This window comes from Homo sapiens, chromosome 8 (genome assembly GCF_000001405.40).
Source record: "Homo sapiens chromosome 8, GRCh38.p14 Primary Assembly".
Classification (NCBI taxonomy): Eukaryota; Metazoa; Chordata; class Mammalia; order Primates; family Hominidae; genus Homo; species Homo sapiens.
In genome coordinates this window covers 56020833-56040327 of record NC_000008.11, presented here as the reverse complement: position 1 = coordinate 56040327, position 19495 = coordinate 56020833, and the positions used below count along the sequence as shown (strand labels likewise).

The following is a 19495-nucleotide window of genomic DNA, read 5'->3' as shown; positions in this document are numbered from 1 at the left end:
AAAAGCTCTACCTTCCTTAATTGAATCTAAAAATTCTGTTGTTCATCAATCCATCCTACAGAGCTGGTTTGGTCAAAACAAAGCAGAGCATAAGAGCGTGCCACTATAAGCCTGCAGCCTGTGTGGAGAAACGGTGAGCTTTTCTCATCCCTTCTTTATTCTTCCACTTTTACTTTAAAAAAAAAAAAATAAGTATTTTCTTTTCATTGCCACGTCAGCTGTTCCCTTCTTTAAAAAAAAAAAAAAAAGAAAGAAAAAAGAAAAAGGAACAGTGGCAGTGGCTCACACCTGTATTCCTAGCACTTTGGGAACCAAGGCAGGAGGATCGCTTGAACTCAGGGGTTCAAGACCAGCCTGGGCAACATAGCGAGACCCCGTCTCTACAAAAAATATAAAAATTAGCTGGGCATGGTGGCTCACACCCATGGTTCCAGCTACTTGGGAGGCTGAAGCTGGAGCCTGAGCCTGGGATGTGGGGGCTGAAGTGAGCTCTGATTGCACCATTGCACTCCAGCCTGGGCAACAGAGAGAAACCCTGTCTTTAAAGAAAAATAAAAATAAACAATTTAGAAACTGGAAAAACTATTTTTTTCTTTAATTTGATGAGAACATAGATATGTTCTCATCGTAAAGCACTTAGCATAGTTCCTGACATAGAGGGATGAACTGCACCTGTTGATTTCTATCCCTTTGCCTAGAAAGGATTAAAACAAAATCCAACCTTCTTGCTTTCTGGCTCCTCTTGCTTTCTGGCTCTGCTGATTCCTCTTGGAAGAAGGTCCATCTGTAAGAACATAAACAATCTGATTTTGTCAGGAGTGCTTCTCTCTATGCCTTCACTTGACTCTGGGGCCCCCATGGGCTGCACCCATCTCAGCCCAGAGTGAGTTTTCCACACTTTCAGAGGTCGGGGCAGGAGCCTGTCATTGGCTGAGCCTGGCCTGTCTGTCAAAGCTCTCTTCAGATGATATCACTCTCTGCTCTTCAGCCTCTTCTGCCCCACCATGGACTTAATCCTGAGGAAGAATTTTCCTCCCACTCTCTTCACTCAGGACAAGTCTTTCAAAAAGATGCTTTGTTTGATGAGAATTTAAGTTGATGTGTGATTTCGGGGGGAAACAGACAAACCCAACTTTGCACTGGTGTTTTATTCCCTCTGCCCAACACACTCACTCCATGTAACCTGATGGTGGCTTTCAGTGCCTCTGTCACCTTTGCTAAATTCTTAGGCCAGGATAGAGTTCGCTGTGCCTGGACATCACTCTTTTCATTCCCTCCTCATGCCAGGCTGGGAGGGAGATCTTTGAAAAGGCAGAGTGAAGAGTTGTCCAAGTTATGCTGAGAGAGTCCTAGAAGTCTTCTAGAGGCTCCCTTCTGAAGAACATGCAAGACCCCTGTCTGCTCTGACCTTGCAAGGCAGCCAGCTGTCAATGTGACTGGGGGGCTTTTGCAACCACGAGGGTAGGGTTGCCAGAACCATGATGACATCTGAGGGACACAGGGACCCAGGAAAGGACAGGTGAACCCCCAAGTAATTCTTCCTTAAAAATGAAGCAAAAAGTCTTCGCACTATATGATTCTATGTCTGCAAAATTAGAAAAGGCAAAACTATGGCACAGAAGATAGAGGAGCGGTTGCCTGGGGTGGGATAAGGGTGGAGGGTGCAAAGAAACAGGGAGGAACTCTTTGGGATGATGGAAATGTTCTACATCTTGATCGTAGTTGCAGTGACATGATGGCATAGACATGTCAAAATATCGGATTGTGCATGTAATCAATAAAAAGTGAAAATGCCCTCACGTGAAAACAGCTGGGAGAGCCATGGGGAGCAAACAGAACTGCCTGCCTGTAATTCCCTCCCTGCATCTCCTGGGTTGTGGATTCCTTTGTTGGAGATCCACGGTCCAATGTCCTGGATTTGACCAAAGAGAAGCAGCCTCACTCAGTGGAGCCAATTGCTTTGCTTATTTTTTCTCTTTCTCCCTTGAGGCTCCCAGGGTGCTGTGGAGGGTGTCTACAATACACTGTAGCAACAAAATCAATCTGGAATTGAGGTCTTCTTTCTCCTCCTCCTCACTGGATCTGCCCAAGAACCAAGGGAATCAGACCAACACCCCTGGCTCCATTTCCCACATTCTCTAAATAGGGTGCTCATGCTTTCCTTCTCATGGGCCGTTTTGTGGGATCAGAGACTACAGTGTCCTGCGCTGGCACTCTGTGGCCCCTCACTGGGAGTGGAGTTTTAGACCAGCTCTCAGGGTCCCCTCTCCCTCTCCACCCATCCTGTTTCTTTGAAATGTCTCTAGTTTCTCAGCCCCCAGAATTCACTCACAGCACAATCTATCTTTCTATGTTTTTATTAAACCCAGGGATTCAGGATTGGTATAACATTTATTAGAGCACATTTAGATCATTGCACAATTTAATTTCAACATTGAAGAGATTCCTGAGGGGGACTTTTTTTCCCTGAAAATTTAATAACATAACCCTGGGTCAGGAATCTGCCTGAGCAGTCAGTGGAATGTGTGCACACCTGTAGTGAGGCACACTCCACACCTCATTCCATTATAAATCTCTGGGACCTCAACCCACCTACCCATGGCACTGAAAGTCATGACAACGCTGTAATGTTTTAAATCTACCCAATTCTTAAGGGATAGCTTTATAACTACAGTTATGTGTGACATTTTGTAAAACCAGTGAACAATTTCTGAAATTATTGTTCAACAAACACCAAAATGGTGAGGAGTTTCATTACTACTGAAATCACACTTCATTCATAAGGAAACACTTTCGTTGTCTATAATTTTTACTTATTTTTAAATTGACTTACAAGTTGATTTATAAAAGTATATAACCATATGTCCTTTCATAAATATCCTTATAAACTTTTTTTTTTTTTTTGAGACAGGGTCTGGCTCTGTCACCCAGGCTGGAGTACAGTGGTGTGATCTTGGCTCACTAGGTGTGATCTTGGCTCACTCCGCCTCTTGGCTCAATTGATCCTCCCACCTAAGCCTCCCAAGTAGCTGGGACTACAGGCACATGACACTACACTTGGCCAATTTTTGTATTTTCTGTAGAGGTGAGGTTTCCCCATGTTGCCCAAGCTGGTTTCTGAGCTCCAGTGATCCGCCCACCTTGGCCTCCCAAAATGCTGGGATTGTAAATGTGAACCACAGCTCTTGACCCTTATAATCATTTTGCAAAGAAAATTCCACTAAATCCACCCCACTTTCTGATGTTGAGAGTGAAGGGAGGTGTACTTGTTGAAAGCTCACTGTCTCAAGGGACATGAAGGGACAGCCCAGGTCCATTGGACCTTCTCTCTGTTGGCTCAGAATTTGGGCACTACAGACCAGCAGTCACTATGTCAGGAGTTGGTGACTATTTTGTAATTTTTATTCCTCTATGATAAGAAATCTTTAAAGGAGAAAGGGCCTTGTATTCATCTTTGGAGAGAGCAAGAAGTGGGAGCTGAGGAGAATCCTGTTTTGGAGGCCAAAAGCCCAAAGCATGGACCCAGCGGTGGCACCATTGAGAGGAATTCATTCTTGGGTATCCTAGGGGCACTCTGCAAAGAAGAGAGGAGATGACAGGGAGCTGCCTGGGTGTAAGGCGCAGGTGAGGAGTAGAAAATGCTCCCCACGTCATGGCCTGAGGGTGCCTGGTTGCCTTGTAGGGGAGGGGGGAAGTCATATTTCACTTGGCTGGAGCCCCACCTGACAAAATATGCCCACTGGCTGCTGTATTAGTCAGAGTCCTTCAAAGAAACAGAACCAATAAGATGTGTGTATATAAATACACACACACACACCCCCCACACATTTATTCTGGGAATTGTCTCGCACAATTATGAGGTTGAGAAGTCCCATGATCTGCTGTCTGCAACCGTGGGAGTTCTGAGGGTTCTGGTTTCCGAGTCTGAAGACCCAAGAACCAGGAGCTCCATGTCTGAGGGCAGGAGGAGGTGGATGTCCCAGCTCAAGCAGAGAAAGCCAATGCGCCTTCCTCCACCTTTTGCTCTGTTCAGGCCCCCAGCAGATCAGTGACGCCCACCCATGCTGTGAAGGGGAGCTTCTTCACTCAGCCTCCCCGATTCCAGTGTGAGCCCCTCTAAAGTCCATCACAGACACACCCAGAAATATGGTTTTCCCCACGATATAAGCTTCCCTCAGCCCAGTCAAGTGGACACAAAAAGTTAACCAGCCCAGTCCTTCTCTTGTCCACTTCTTACCATCTCCTTAAACCATACTTCATCTCCAAATAAAGAGAGTAACAAGGTCATACTTGGGTCTAACATGATACAACTCCACTGTACCAGGAGAAACACACTAACTCCTTCCTAGGAGGAGGAGGCAAAGTCCTAGAGTGATGTTTACTCTTCTCCTGATAGTTCATAAATTAAATGCTATGACGTAAAATTAACAATACTTAAATATTGATATAAAGTCAATACTTTTTTTTTTCTTTGAGACAGAGTCTCGCTCTGTCACTCAGGCTGGAGTGCAATGGTGCAATCTCGGCTCACTGCAACCTCCACCTCCCAGGTTCAAGTGGTTCTCCTGCCTCAGCCTCCTGAGTAGCTGGAATTACAGGCACCGCCACCACACCCTGCTAATTTTTGTATTTTTAGTAGAGACGGGGTTTCACCATGTTGGTCAGGCTGATCTCGAACTCCTGACCTCGTGATCCACCCACCTCGGCCTCCTAAAGTGCTGTGCTGGGATTACAAGCTTGAGCCACCATGCCCGGCCTTCATTTTTTTTAAATTGAGACAGAGTCTCACTCTGTCATACAGCCTGGAGTGCAGTGGCATGATCTCAGCTCACTGCAACCTCTGCCTGCCCCACGCACCTCTGCCTGCCTGCGCACCACGACGCCTGGCTAAGTTTTGTATTTTTAGTAGAGAAGAGGTTTCGCCATGTTGGCCAGGCTGGTCTCGAACTCCTGACCTCAGGTGATCCACCAGCCTCGGTCTCCCAAAGTGCTGGGATTACTGGTGTGAGTCACGGCGCCTGTCCTAAAGTCACTGCATGTTATGTTACATGATAAGGGAATAAGAGAGGAAAGAAATAATCTGTGTATACAGACCCACAAACATATTCGTAACAAAATAAGGAAGACATACTCATGACAGTTATAGCCTGGCATTACTCACTTGCAAGTATCCTTATCATCACTTTCTTAGATAAGAAAATTACAATCTTTTTTGAGTGCCTGTTCTGTGTCAGGTCCTGTGTTAAACATCTTCACATGCACTGGCCCCTGCGTATGGCCTTCTGAGGTAGATGGCTTTATCTCCACTTTAGAGATGGGGTGTAACAAACAAAATGCAGTAACAACAAATGTCACCTCTGTCCTTGGTGGACGGTGATTGGAGAGTCCCACGGAGCCCACACATCACTGCAGGGAGCCCTGTAGCGTGCCCCTTGGGCTTGCTGCTGCATCTCATCATGGCCTGTCAGCTCTCCTGGCCCTTTGCTGGCTCTGCTGTCTGGTGAGGAGATGAATTCTGTCTTCCTCACCAAGGACCCACTCACTGTTCTTAGTAAGCACAACTTGGCACAGCAAAAGGCTGCTCCTTCCAGCCCTTTCTTCTTGAAGGCCCTACCAGTACACTTCGTTGTTTCTATTTCTGTGAGACTTGGCTGTGGAGTCTATCTCCATCTCACAGCATTTTTCCTTTCTGTCCTGTACACCTTTCCCAGCCCAGAAAAACTGCCTCTCTGTTGCAAGCATTGGAGGCTTGTTTCATTCTCTTCTCCACGTGCCAACACTCTTGACACCAATAGGTCTCAAGGTTTGGAAACCGTGAAATCAGTGGAAACCATCAGAGCACAGAGCATTTACAACACCAGTTCCACAGAAATGCACCATTGCCCATGCTTTTATTAGCATGATAACACAAAAATAGTCCCAGTCTTTTCTTTACCATGTCCTGGAATTTGAGACGAAAGAGCAAACTCTATACTCATAAAACCTGTGTTACTGCAAAACAAAAGTTCTCTATCTTCAGACATCATAAAACCCAGGCTCTATTCTCCTTCTGGGGCCTAGAGGGTCAGTCTCAGGAGTGTTTCTTGTACCTTGGGCAGTTGTGGGCTCTGTCAGGTATTGGCTCCAGCTTATACCTGGACCTGCTTTAGCTCAGGAGGGAGAGCAGCGTGATCGAGCATTGATAGTTGTTCTGATGTGTTCATGTTGTGAAAAGGAAAATGTTTCTGGAAGGACTTAAAAGAATTGTACCCCGGGAGTAGCTGGCAGGAGGAAGCCCTTAGATCTGTGTCCCTGGGGACTTGTCTGGAGCATTGGTGCAAACAGGGCCTTCTGCCTGATAGCTCTGTTGCAGGTCACCTGTGTCCTGTGTGTAGCCTCTTTAGTAGTTTTACCTGTTGTTTGCACTGTTTAGAGCCTTGCAGTAAGAGACTTGTCAATTGCTTCTTGGTTTTCTGCAGATTCCTAGTGCATGTCAGAGCCATTGCCCAACCAGACAGCTGACTGTCCTATATGCCCTTATTTCCTCAGTCAGAGGCATCACTTTCTCAGATGGCTTCACTTTTTGTTCATTTCTATCACCGGGAAAACTATTCAGCTTTCTCTATCAGGGAAAACCAGCTGTGTTTATACCATATGGTAAATGTCACCATGAATAAGACAAGACCTGGAGAACAAAGCATCACTTATCTGGTGCTGTGGACAATGGAAAGGCACCTAGCTCAGGGGCACCTCTTTGCAGTCCTGATTTCAGGGTGGATCTGCGTGGGGTAAGAGTCACCCTGAACGGGGAAAGTAAGTTGCAAGCTCCAGGTAAGAAGGGGGTTCAGGGCAAGGGCATAGTTGGAAAGGAAAATTTTCCAGTAATCATCAAGTTTGTCTGTCAAATCAACTTTGTCCAAATTCTTGTACTGCGGTAATACTTAGTCACCCTATTGTGCTGATGAACACTTGAAATTATCCCTTCCATATCAACAGATTTTTGTACCCTTTAACCAACTCCCCTTCATCCACGTCCCCACTCTCCTTCACCATTCTATTCACCACCTCCATGAGATTATTTTCTTTTTAGTTCCCACATACAAGTGAGAACATGTGATATTTGTCTTTCTGTGCCTGGCTTATTTCACTTAACATGGTGTCCTCCAGTTTCATCCGTGTTGCCGAAAATGACAGAATTTCATTCTTTGTTATGGCTGAATAATATTTCATTGTGCACATGTACCACATTTTCATTATCCATTCACCTGTTGATGGATACTTAAGTTGCTTCCATATCTTGGCTACTGTGAATAGTGCTGCAATAAACATGGGAGTGCAGACATCTCTTCGATATATGGATTTCCTTTCTTTGGGGTATATACCTAGCAGTGGGATTGCTGGATCCTATGGTAACTCTAATTTAGTTTTTTGAGGAACCTTCATAGTGTTTTCCATAGTGGTCGTACTAACTTACATTTCCATCAACAGGGTACAAGTGTTCCCTTTTCTCTGCATCCTTGCTAGCATTTATTATTTTTTGATTTTTTGATAATACCATTCTAACTGGGGTGAAATGATATCTTATTGTGATTTTGATTTGCATTTCTTTTTTTTTTTTTTGAGATGGAGTCTCGCTCTGTCGCCCAGGCTGGAGTGCAGTGGCGTGATCTCGGCTCACTGCAAGCTCCGCCTCCTGGGTTCATGCCATTCTCCTGCCTCATCTTCCTGAGTAGCTGGGACTACAGGCGCCCACCACCACTCCTAGCTAATTTTTTGTATTTTTAGTAGAGACGGGTTTTCACCATGTTACCCAGGATGGTCTCGATCTCCTGACCTCATGATCCACCTGCCTCAGCCTCCCAAAGTGCTGGGATTACAGGTGTGAGCCACCGTGCCCGGCCCTGATTTGCATTTCACTGGTGATCAGTTGGTCATTTTACCATATACCTGCTGGCCATTTGTACGTCTTTTTTTTTTTTTTCTTTGAGACAGAGTCTCACCCTGTCACCCAGGCTGGAGTGCAATGCCACCATCTCGGTTCACTGCAACCTCTGCCTCCTGGGTTCAAGCGATTCTCCTGCCTCAGCCTCCTGAGTAGCTGGGATTTCAGGCATGTGCCACCACGCCCAGCTAATTTTTAGTAGAGATGGGGTTTCACCAGGTTGGTCAGGCTGGTCTCGAACTCCTCACTTCGTGATCTGCCTGCCTCGGCCTCCCAAAGTGCTGGGATTACAGGCACGAGCCACTGCGCCTGGGCCTGTATGTCTTCTTTTGAAAAATGTCTGTTCAAATCATTTGCCCATTTTTAAATTGGATTATTTGTTTCTTTGCTATTGAGTTGAGTTCCTTATATATTCTGCCTATTAATCCCTTATTGGATGGGTAGTTTGCAAACATTTTCTCCCATTCTGTGGGTTGCCTCTTCACCTTGTTCATTGTTTCCTTTGTTGTGCAGAATCTTTTTAGCTTGATGTAATCTCATTTGTCAATTTTTGCTTTGGTCACCTGTGCTTGTGAGGTCTTGCTCAATAAATCTTTGCTCAGACCCATGTACTGAAGAGTTTCTCCAATTTTTTTTCAGTAGTTTGATAGTTTCAGGTCTTACATTTAAGTCTTGAATCTATTTTCGTTTGGTTTTTTGTATATAGTGAGAGTTAGGGGGTCTCATTTCATTCTTCTGCATGTGGATATCCAGTGTCATCGACACTGTTTATTGAAGATACTGTCCTTCCCCAACATATATTCTTGGTGCCTTTGTCAAAAATGAGTTGGCTGTAAATGTGTGGATTTATTTCCGTGTTCTCTGTTTGGTTCCACTGGTATATGTGTCTGTTTTTATGCCAGTTCCATACTGTTTTGATTACTATAGCTTTGCAGCATATCTTGAAGTCAGGTAATGTGGTGCCTCCAACTTTTCATTTTGCTTAGGATTGCTTTGGCTAGCTGGAATCTTGTGATCCTATGAATTTTAGGATTTATTTTTCTATTTCCAGGAAGAACGTAATTGGTATTTTGATAGGGATTGCATTAAATCTGTAGACCGTTTTATGTAGTATAAACATTTAAACAATATTAATTCTTCCAATTCATGAGCGTGGGATACTTTTCCATCTTTCTGTGTCCTCTTCAACTTGTTTCATCAATGTTTTTCTAACTTTCATTGTAGAGATCTTTCACTTCTTTGACTAAGTATATCCCTAGGCATTTTATTTTATTTTATTTTATTTTATTTTATTTTTTTAGATGGAGTTTCACTCTTGTTGCCCAGGCTGGAGTGCAATGGCGCGATCTTGGCTTGCTGCAACCTCCACCTCCCGGGTTCAAGCAATTCTCCTGCCTCAGCCTCCCGAGTAGCTGGGACTGCAGGCGCCCGCCACGATGCCTGGCTAATTTTTTGTATTTTTAGTAGAGACAGGGTTTCACCAAGTTGGCCAGGATGGTCTCCAACTCCTGACCTCAGGTGATCCGCCCACCTCGGCCTCCCAAAGTGCTGGGATTACAGGTGTGAGCCATCGCGCCTGGCTAGGCATTTTATTTTTTTGTAGCTATTGTAAATGGGATTGTTTTCTCAATTTCTTCTTCAGATTATTGGCTGTTGGCCTATAAAAATGCTACTGATTTTTGTATATTAGCTGAATAGTTTTAATATTTCCAGGGCAAAAATGTCAACTAATAGCACAAATTATTAGCAGACACATGTCATTATTTAAGTTAGGCAGTAAGTTTCTTGCTTTCAGGAAACCTTTTTTTAAGCTCCAATCTAAAAGAAATTATTATGTGAAAAGCCAAACCAAAACACCTAGAATAACCTGGACATATTGCTAGCAATGCCTTTACACTCTCTACCAACTAAGTATTAGTGAAATCTGGAAAAAAAATAATAATAATTAAAAAAAACTTATTTGAAGATGATTTCCTACACATGGGTACATCTCTTAGTCCAAAGTGTGACAGAGATAATCTTTTTTTTTTTTTTTTTTTTTTTGACACGGAGTCTTGCTCTGTCGCCCAGGCTGGAGCGCAGTGGTGGTGTAATCTCAGCTCACTGCAACCTCCGTCTCCTGGGTTCAACCGATTCTCCTGTCTCAGCCTCCTGAGTAGCTGGAATTACAGGCACCTGCCCCCATGCCCAGCTAATTTTTGTATTTTTAGTAGAGATGGGGTTTCACCATGTTGGCCAGGCTGGTTTCGAACTCCTGACCTCAGATGATCCTCCTGCCTCAGTCTCCCAAATTGCTGGGATTACCAGTGCTGAGCCACCATGCCCGGCTGGAGATAATCTCTTTAAGGGCCTATCGCAGTATGTCACTGTGGTCAGAAGAGGGCAAGAAGTGGCACTCAAATTAACTAGAGTGGGGTTTTTTATTCCATATTGCCAAGTGTATAGGAAATAAGGGGAAAAGGTCAATTCTTGCCATTTATGTTGTAAGCAACTGCTACATTGCTAATTTGCAATTGCAAGGTGCCAGTTATTTCAGCCGTGTTTCTTTCTTTTATAACATATTTTGAAATTTATTCAGGTTCAATAAACAATATATATTAGCTAATCATTTGATTTTTTTCATTTGCATGTTTTAGACTTTGATCGAATTCATTTTTCTCTTACTGTTTATTAATAAAGGTTTAACTTTATAAACAACAATCTGATATTAAAATAACCATGCAGTTATTAAGCAAGGGAACTTTATGTGAGTGTTGGATTAAAGTTAAATAACAATGTTAACTTGTTGTAGCTTTACAGTTTCTAGAACTGACACTTATAATTGAGATCAACCATCTTATAAAGCTTAAGCTATTTTGTAACTTTAAAAAATTGACTCGGTAGGGCCCGGTGGCTCATGCTTGTAATCCTAGCACTTTGGGAGGCTGAGATGAAGGAATCGCTTGTGGTCAGGAGTTTGAGTCCAGCCTGGTCAACATAGAGAGACTCCCATCTCTATTTTAATAAATAAATAAAAATATAAATATAAAATGACTGTATTATTTATATAGTAATATGTTATTACTATATTACTTTTTTGTGAGCTTGTATTTCTGATAACATCTCTTTCATTCACATTATTTTTGGACTGGATTTTTGAAAATAGAAATAGGTATTTTATAAACAGAAAGATTCTAGGATGAGGTTGTGAATAAATCCAAGTAATATAAATTTAATTACCCAGCAGTTATTTGAAATTATGAATGCTTTCTTGAGGGGTGGAGGGAAACACATTTTCGAATCATTATTCTTTTCAGTTCTGAAGAGGGCTTAAGGTAATGTACAGCTGTGGAAAGTCAAGTGACCAGAACCACCACTGGTCATTTATGTGACAGAACACTAGGTGGCACTGTTCCTCGAAGGAATTGACTAGAATTGCATACCAAGAGTCCTTTTTTTTTTTTTTTTTTTTTTTTTTTTGAGACAGGGTTTAGTGCTCTGTCGCCCAGGCTGGAGTGCAGTGGCATCATCATGGTTCACTGCAGCCTCAACTTCCTGGGCCCAAGCAATCCTCCCACCTTAGCTTTCCAAGTAGCTGAAACTACAGGCATGTGCCACCGGCTAATTTTTTTAAATTTTTTTGTAGAGGTGGGGGGGTCTCACTTTGTTGCCCATGCTGATCTCAAACTCCTGGGCTCAAGCCATCCTCCTGCTTCGGCTTCCCAAAGTGCTGGGATTACAGGCGTGCTCCCCAGTGCTTAGCCTTGTTCATTATTATTAACTGAAGTCCACACTTTATTCAGACCTCCTTAGTTTTTACCTATTGTCCTTTTTCTGTCTCAGGATCCCACATTACATTTGAGTCATCAAGTCATGTCTCCCTAGGCTTCTTCCAGTAGTGGCAGTTTCTCAGACTTTCTTTGCTTTTGATGACTTTGCTGGTTTTGAGAGCTACTGGTTGGGTATGCATGCCCCTCTATTGGAGTTTGGTGTTTTTCTCATGATTAGCAAGAGGTTACAGGATGAAGGCGACAGAGGTAGTGTGTCTTCATCACATCATGTCAAGGGTGCATAGTATCCACATAACAGATGACTGTTAATGTTGACCTTGATCACCTGGCTGGGGAAGCATTTGTGAGGTTTCTCCACTTCACAGTTACCGTCCTCCCTCCCTCCACACTGGAAGGAAGCCACTTTGCACAGTGAGCACCTAAGGAGCAGGGAGCTATGCTTCAGCTCCTTGAGGGTAAAATATCTACATAAATTATTTGAATTCTTCTGCACTGGAAATTTTTCTCTTCTCTCCCATTTATTTATTTATTGAATTATTTACTTATACTAGTGTGGACTCGTGGATATTTATTTTACACTACAGATTATAATCCAATACTATTTTATTTATCTTGTTACTCAAACTGTTCCACGTTTGGCCCCTGGAGGCTCTTTTACTTGGCTCCTGTGTCCCATTGACAAATCCCTGTCATCGTGGATTTTTGTTTGTTTTAGCAACTTGTTTACTTTTTAATAGACAGCTTTTGCTTAGTCTACAAATAGAATTTAGCCCTGTTGTTGTATAAGCATTTCTCTTACTAAAGTGCTATATAATAATGAAAACTGAAAGAGACATGAAAGGAAGAAGAAAAATATTTATTATTATTTCAGTGTGTTCTCTCGAAATGTTTTATTTTTCTTCTCTTATTTTCTGTTTTCATTTTTATTACTTGGCATACTTTTTAACTTTATTTTAAAAATAGGCCAAATTATTTTTTCTAAATAATGTATATTCTGATTATTTCTATTTAACAATACACTATGAACATTTTCCACTTTCTTACATTTATATAAAATATTCTACATAGTTCAATTAACCTTCTCTTTATAATTGACTAACATTCTCCCTTAAGTATACTCAGTGCATTGCTTGATTCTGGACACATAGCTGACTTTTACTACATAGTGATTGGGTGAATTAGCCATTTAGAGATTTTCAATTTTTTTTTTCTTTTTTCTTTTTGAGACAGGGCCTCTCTCTTGTCACCCATTCTGAAGTGCAGTGGTGTGATCATGGCTTGCTGCAACCTCTGCCTTCCAGGCTCAAGCAATTCTCCCACCTCAGCCTCCTGAGTAGCTAAGACCACAAGTATGTGTCACCATGCCTGGCTAATTTTTTTTAATTTTAATTTTTTGTAGAGATGGGGTCTCACCTTGTTTCCCAGGCAGGTCTCAAACTCCTGGGCTCAAGCGACCCTCTTGCTTCGGCCTCCCAAAGTGCTGGGATTAAAGGCGTGAGCCACCGTGCCTGGCTGTGTTTCAATATTTTTGAATCATAAATAGTGATGCAATGACTACATCTGAGCCTAGAGTTATTTAAGCAGTTGTACATTATTTTGCATATTTAAGATTTGTAGAAGGTGAGCTGGGTCCAATAGCACCAATTTATTTTTTATTTTTTATTTTTATTTTTTTTTGAGACCGAGTCTCGCTCTGTTGTCCAGGCTGGATTGCAGTGGTGCGATCTTGGCTCACTGCAATCTCTGCCTCCTGGGTTCAAGCGATTCTCCTGCTTCAGCCTTCCAAGTAGCTGGGACTGCAGGGATGCACCACCACACCTGGCTAATTTTTGTATTTTTAGTAGAGATGGGGTTTCACCATGTTGGCCAGGCTGGTCTTGAACTCCTGACCTCAGGTGATCCGCCCACCTCGGCTTCCCAAAGTGCTAGGATTACAGGCATGAGCCACCATGCCTGGCCACCAATATTTTTGAAGCTTTTGATTCATAATTAGATTTTACAAATGGGGTAAATTGTATGAGACTAACCCAAGGAAAGAAAGGGAAGGATATTGTCCAGTCTATGCAAATAAGCAAGGGGTCACTGGTTGAGAATCTAAACAAAACCAGTTGATTAATGAGAAATAACACTTCCTAGAAAGTCTAATTCAAAGCCTGAGCACTGCCCTTCTCAGCTCCCATTCTCACTGCTATGCTGAGACTCCAGGAAATTTGTGCAGCTGATTTAATTCAACTCAGTTCAACAAAAGGCAAGAGGAAAATAATCCATGTCCTGTGCAGCAACGGGTCGCCGAGCCTCTCCACAGCTCTGTCAGGTGGGCAGAATACCAAGAGGCCAGTGTCAGTCTTCACTGAGAATTCCCATTCTCCCTGGAATCTCTGCCTGGCTGTCCAAAATGTTCATTACAAAGTTAACATAGATGCCTGAAAACACCAGAGAGGCCGGGCGTGGTGGCTCACACCTGTACTCCCAACACCTTGGGAGGCCAAGGCGGGAGGATCACTTGAGGTCAGGACCTCGAGGCCAGCCTGGGCAACATGGTGAAACCCCCATCTCGACTAGGAATACAAAAATTAGCTGGGCGTGGTGGTAGTGCACCTGTAATCCCAGCTACTTGGGAGGCTGAGGTGAGATAATCACTCGAACCTAGGAGGTGGAGGTTGCAGTGAGCCGAGATCATGTTCAGCGACAGAGCGAGACCCCATTTCAAAAAGAAAAAAAAAGAGAGAGAGAGAGAGAACTCTGGAAGCTAAACTTGTACATTGGATAGAAGCTGGTATGTCAAAGAAATGAAAACAGGTTTCTCTCTGCTTTTTTAAGTATAAAAAGTATTATTATTTTCTTAAAGATCAGTCCAGTCCTTGTTTGGCATTCCTTGGTGTAATAACATGGGAGTTTTCTTGTGGAGTTTTACATTCACATTTACATAAGATTTTATTTTATTTTATTTTATTTATTTATTTTGAGACAGTCTCACTCTGTCGCCCAGGCTAGAGTGCAGTGGCACAATCTTCACTTACTGCAGCCTCCGCCTCCCAGGTTCAAGCGATTCTCACTCCTCAGCCTCCCAAGTAGCTGGGATTACAGGTGCCCGCTACCAAGTCTGGCTAATTTTTCTATTTTTAGTAGAGACGGGGTTTCACCATGTTGGCCAGGCTGGTCTCTAACTCCTGACCTCAAGTGATCCACCCACCTCAGCCTCCCAAAGTGCTGGGATTACAGGCATGAGACACCATGCCTGACCTATGTAAGACTTTAAATCTCACGCTCGCTGTTGAGCGTTGGTTTGGGATGTGTGCCTGGGGGAAAATCATCCCCCTCAGATTCTCCTCTGTGAGGAGCTGCAGGGTTTTTCCTTCTTCCTCAGCCTCAGGCTTAGGCTGTGTCCTAGAAAGAAGGCCCTGTTGTTTTAGTCCATAGCACTTGCCTGGAAGTTTGTATATCTGTGAATTCACTTCCTAAAGGAATGCTTTGTGACTTTATTAATTAAGAAGAAGAAAAATATTTTTTATCTGACTCTTTGGAGTTGATAGTTTTAATCTAATTATCTAGTTTTCACATTTTTCATACTTCCTTTTCCTTTATTTCCTACCAAGACTGCATGGAATGTAGAATATGGTTCTCACTCTGTCACCCAGGTTGGAGTGCAGTGGCGCAATCTTGGCTGACTGCAACTTTCGCCTCCCAAGTTCAAGCGATTCTCCTGCCTCAGCCTACCAAGCAGCTGGGATCATAGGCATGTGCTACCACATCCAGCTAATTTTTGTATTTTTAGTAGAGACGGGGTTTCACCATGTTGGCCAGGCTGGTTTCGAACCCCTGACTTCAGGTGATCCACCCTCCTCAACCTCCCAAAGTGCTAGGATTACAGGTGTGAACCACTGCACCCGGCCTGGTTAGAATATTTTTAAAGACAGATGGGAAGCTGCTGTTTGGAGAGCTAAATAACATAAACCACTATGGGATTTTGTGTGTGTGTGTGTGTGTGTGTGTGTGTGTGTGTGTGTGTGTTGGGGGGGTGATGTTTCTGCCTAGGTATTCTTTAAAATACGGTCATGTGTCACTTGAAGACATGGATATGTTCTGAGAAATGTGTCATTAGGTGATTTTGTCATGTGAATATCATAGAGTATACTTACACAAACCTAGACGGTCCTGCCTACTGCACACCTAGGCTATATGGTACAGCCTATTACTCCTAGACTGCAAACCTGTACCTCAGGCTACTGTACTGAATACTGTAGGCAACTGTAATCCAATGGTAAATGTTTGTGTATCTAAACATCTCGAAATATAGAAAAGGTCCAGTAAAGATACGGCATAAAAGATAAAAAATGGTATATCTATCTAGGGCACTTACCATGAGTGGAGCTTGCAGGATGGAAGTTGCTCTGGGTAAGTCAGTGAGTGAGTGGTGAGTGAATGTGAAGGCCTAGGACATTACTGTGCACCACTGTAGACTTTATAAACACTGCACACTTAGGCTACACTACATTTATGAAAACAATGTATTTCTTCAATAATAAATTAGCTCTAGTTTACTATAACTTTTTAAATTTATAAACTTAAATTTTCAAACTCTTCGACTCTTGTAATACCTCTTAGCTTAAAACATAAACACATTGTACAGCTGTACAAAAATATTTTCTTTATATCCTTATGCTATAAGCTTTTTTCTATTTTTAAATTATTAAAAAAAATTTTAACCTTTTAAACCTTCTTGTTTTTTAACAAGAAGAAACAAACACATACATTATCCTAGGCCTGCACAGGGTCGGGAATCATCAATATCACTGTCTTCCACCTCCACATCTTGTTCCACTGGAAGGACAAGCATGTAGCTGTCATCTCCTGTGATAACAGTGCTGTTTCTGGACACCTCCTGGAGGACCTGCCTGAGGCAGAAGGAGTACATTCTAGAATAATGATAAAGGCCAGATGCAGTGGCTCACGCCTGTAGTCCCAAGACTTTGGGAGGCTGAGGCGGGCGGATCAATGGAGATCAGGAGTTCAAGACCAGCCTGGCTAACATGGAGAAACCCTGTCTCTATTAAAATACAAAAATTAGCTGAGTGTGGTGGCAGGTGCCTGTAATCCCAGCTACTCAGGAGGCTGAGGCAGGAGCATTGGTTGAACCCGGGAGGCAGAGGTTGCAGTGAGCCAAGATGGTGCCACTGCACTCCAGCCTGGATGACAGAGCGAGACTCTGTCTCAAAAAATAAAATAAAATGACAGTAGAAAGTATAATACAGTAAATACAGAAAGCAGGAACTGTCGTTTATTATCAAGTATCATGTACTGTGCATAATCCTATGCACTGTACCTTTTTTTTTTTTTGAAGTGGAGTCTCCCTTTGTCGCCCAGGCTGGAGTGCAGTGGGATGATCTCAGATCACTGCAACCTCCGCCTCCCGGGTTCAAGCAATTCTCCTGACTCAGCCTTCTAACTAGCTAAGATTACAGGCGTGCGCCACCATGCCTGGCTAATTTTTGTATTTTTAGTAGAGACGGGGTTTCACCATGTTGGTCAGGCTGGTCTCGAACTCCTGACCTCGTGATCCGCCCGCCTCGGCCTCCCAAAGTGCTGGGATTATAGGCGTGAGCCACCGTGCCCAGCCGCACTGTACTTTCATATGACTGGCCGTGCAGTAGGTTTGTTTATACCAGCATCGCCACAAACAGGTAAGGCAGACATTATGACGGCTATTTTTCAGGTCCTTTGTAATCTTATGAGACCATCATCATTGACCAAAACAGATTATTATACCCTAAGTCACTGTACATTCCAACTAGTCCCAGCACCCAGCACAGGGCTTGACAAACAGTAGGTCATCAGTGAATATAAGCTGGGGACAGGGGCTCACAATTGTAATCCCAGCGCTTTGGGAGGCTGAGGTGGGAGGATTGCTTGAGCCCAGAAGTTTGAGGCTGCAGTGTGGTATGATTGTGCCACTGCACTCCAGCCTGGGTGATAGAGTGAGAACCTGTCTTAAAAATAAATAGCTGGGGGCCGGGTGTGGTGGCTCAAGCCTGTAATCCCAGCACTTTGGGAGGCTGAGGTGGGCGGATCACCTGGGGTCAGGAGTTCGAGACCAGCCTGGCCAACATGGTGAAACGCCATCTCTACTAAAAATATAAAAATTAGCCAGGCGTAGTGGCTCATGCCTGTAATCACAGCTACTGGGGAGGCTGAGGCAGAAGAATCACTTGAACCCAGGAGGCAGAGGTTGCAGTGAGCCGAGATCGTGCCATTGCACTCCAGCCTGGGTGACAAGAGTGAGACTCTGTCTCAAATAAAATAATAATAATAAAATAAAATAAACAGCTGGATGTAGTGGTCTGCTTGTAGTTCCAGCTACTTGGGAGGCTGAGGGAGGAGGATCACTTGAGTCCAGGAATTCTGGGTTGTAGTGTGCTATGCCTATCAGTTGTCTGCACTGTTTGTCATCAATTTCATGGACTCCTGGGAGTAGGAGACCACCAGTTTCCCTAAGGAGAGGTGAATCAGCCCAAGTTGGAAACGGAGCAGGTCAAAACTGCCATACCAGTCAGTAGTGGGATCTTACCTGTAAATAGCTACTGCACTCCAGCCTGGGCAATGTAGTGAGATCCTGTCTCTATTTTAGATAATAAATAATTTTTTTTCTTTTTTTTTTTTTTTTTTGAGACAGGGTCTCTCTCTGTTGCCCAGGCTGGAGTGGAGTGGGATGATCTCAGGTCTTTGCAACCTCCACCTCCTGGGTTCAAGTGATTCTCGTGCCTCAGCCTCCCAAGTAGCTAGGATTATAGGTGCGCACCGCCATTCCTGGCTAATTTTTGTAATTTTTTTTTTTTTTTAGTATAGATGGGGTTTCTCTATGTTCCCCAGGCTGGTCTCAAATTTCTGGGCTCAAGTGACCCACCTGCCTCGGCATCCCATAGTGCTGGGATTATAGGCGTGAGCCACTTTGCCTCGCCAATAAATAAATATTGGTTGACTGAATAAACTGATAAAAGAGATTATGGTATTCTATTGTTATACATTTTCCAAGATTGAGAATAATTCACTCCCATTTCTTGTCCAAGAGTTCTGGTTTCTTTAGGAAAGGTAAATGGTTTTAAACAACAACACTGACAACGAAATACACAATCTCTGAGGATTGTGCCAAGAAATAATAGCAAAGAGTTCTGGCTCCCAAAATCATTTTATGTTTAAAAAAAAAAAAAAAAAAGCCTGGAATATTTACATACCCCCTGGAATAATGACATAGTGGAAGGTGATCACTCAGGACAGTAATTACTACCTCTGCCTATGTGGGCGCAAGAATGTGGCTGACACGAGTGTGTACATAGTGTTTTTCCATGACCAGAGGAAAGATGAGTGTCTATCAAGGGGGTGGCATGGCCCTCGCACAGTTGCAACTCCACCATCCTGTTTGAAGCTGGGGTCCTGCTGCCTGAGGAGCTGACAGGCCCAGCTGGGCAACTGCTCAGGGAGCCAGAGGAGTATTTGAGGAGATGCTGCCCCTCTCTCGCTTCTCTCTCTCTGGCTTAAACTGTCCTGGTTTTAAGCCCCCACGAAGCAGCCAGTGAGGCCGCGCCACTGCACTGGCCCTGACAATCACATTTCCTTCTTGTAAACTGCATCACCACCCAGTGTTCGCAGTGATTTTAGTGACACCCCTTCCCACTTACTAGGAACAACATAGTCTGATATGCACTCACAAATCTTTTATTTTTTGTTTTTTGAGATGGAGTCTTGCTCTGTCGCCCAGGCTTGAGTGCAATGGCACGATCTCGGCTCACTGCAACCTCCGCCTCCTGAG

General features: G+C 43.5%; 1 pseudogene, besides 1 other annotated feature; it reads left to right on the top strand.

Moving 5' to 3' along the window:
- Positions 11207–11386: a silencer, noted in NCBI's record as "silent region_19209". NCBI's record gives its function as "represses an Ori minimal core promoter by ATAC-STARR-seq in GM12878 lymphoblastoid cells {active_cell/tissue: GM12878}" and the evidence as "EXISTENCE:reporter gene assay evidence [ECO:0000049][PMID:35858748]".
- On the top strand, positions 18015–18309 carry RN7SL323P (RNA, 7SL, cytoplasmic 323, pseudogene; annotated as a pseudogene).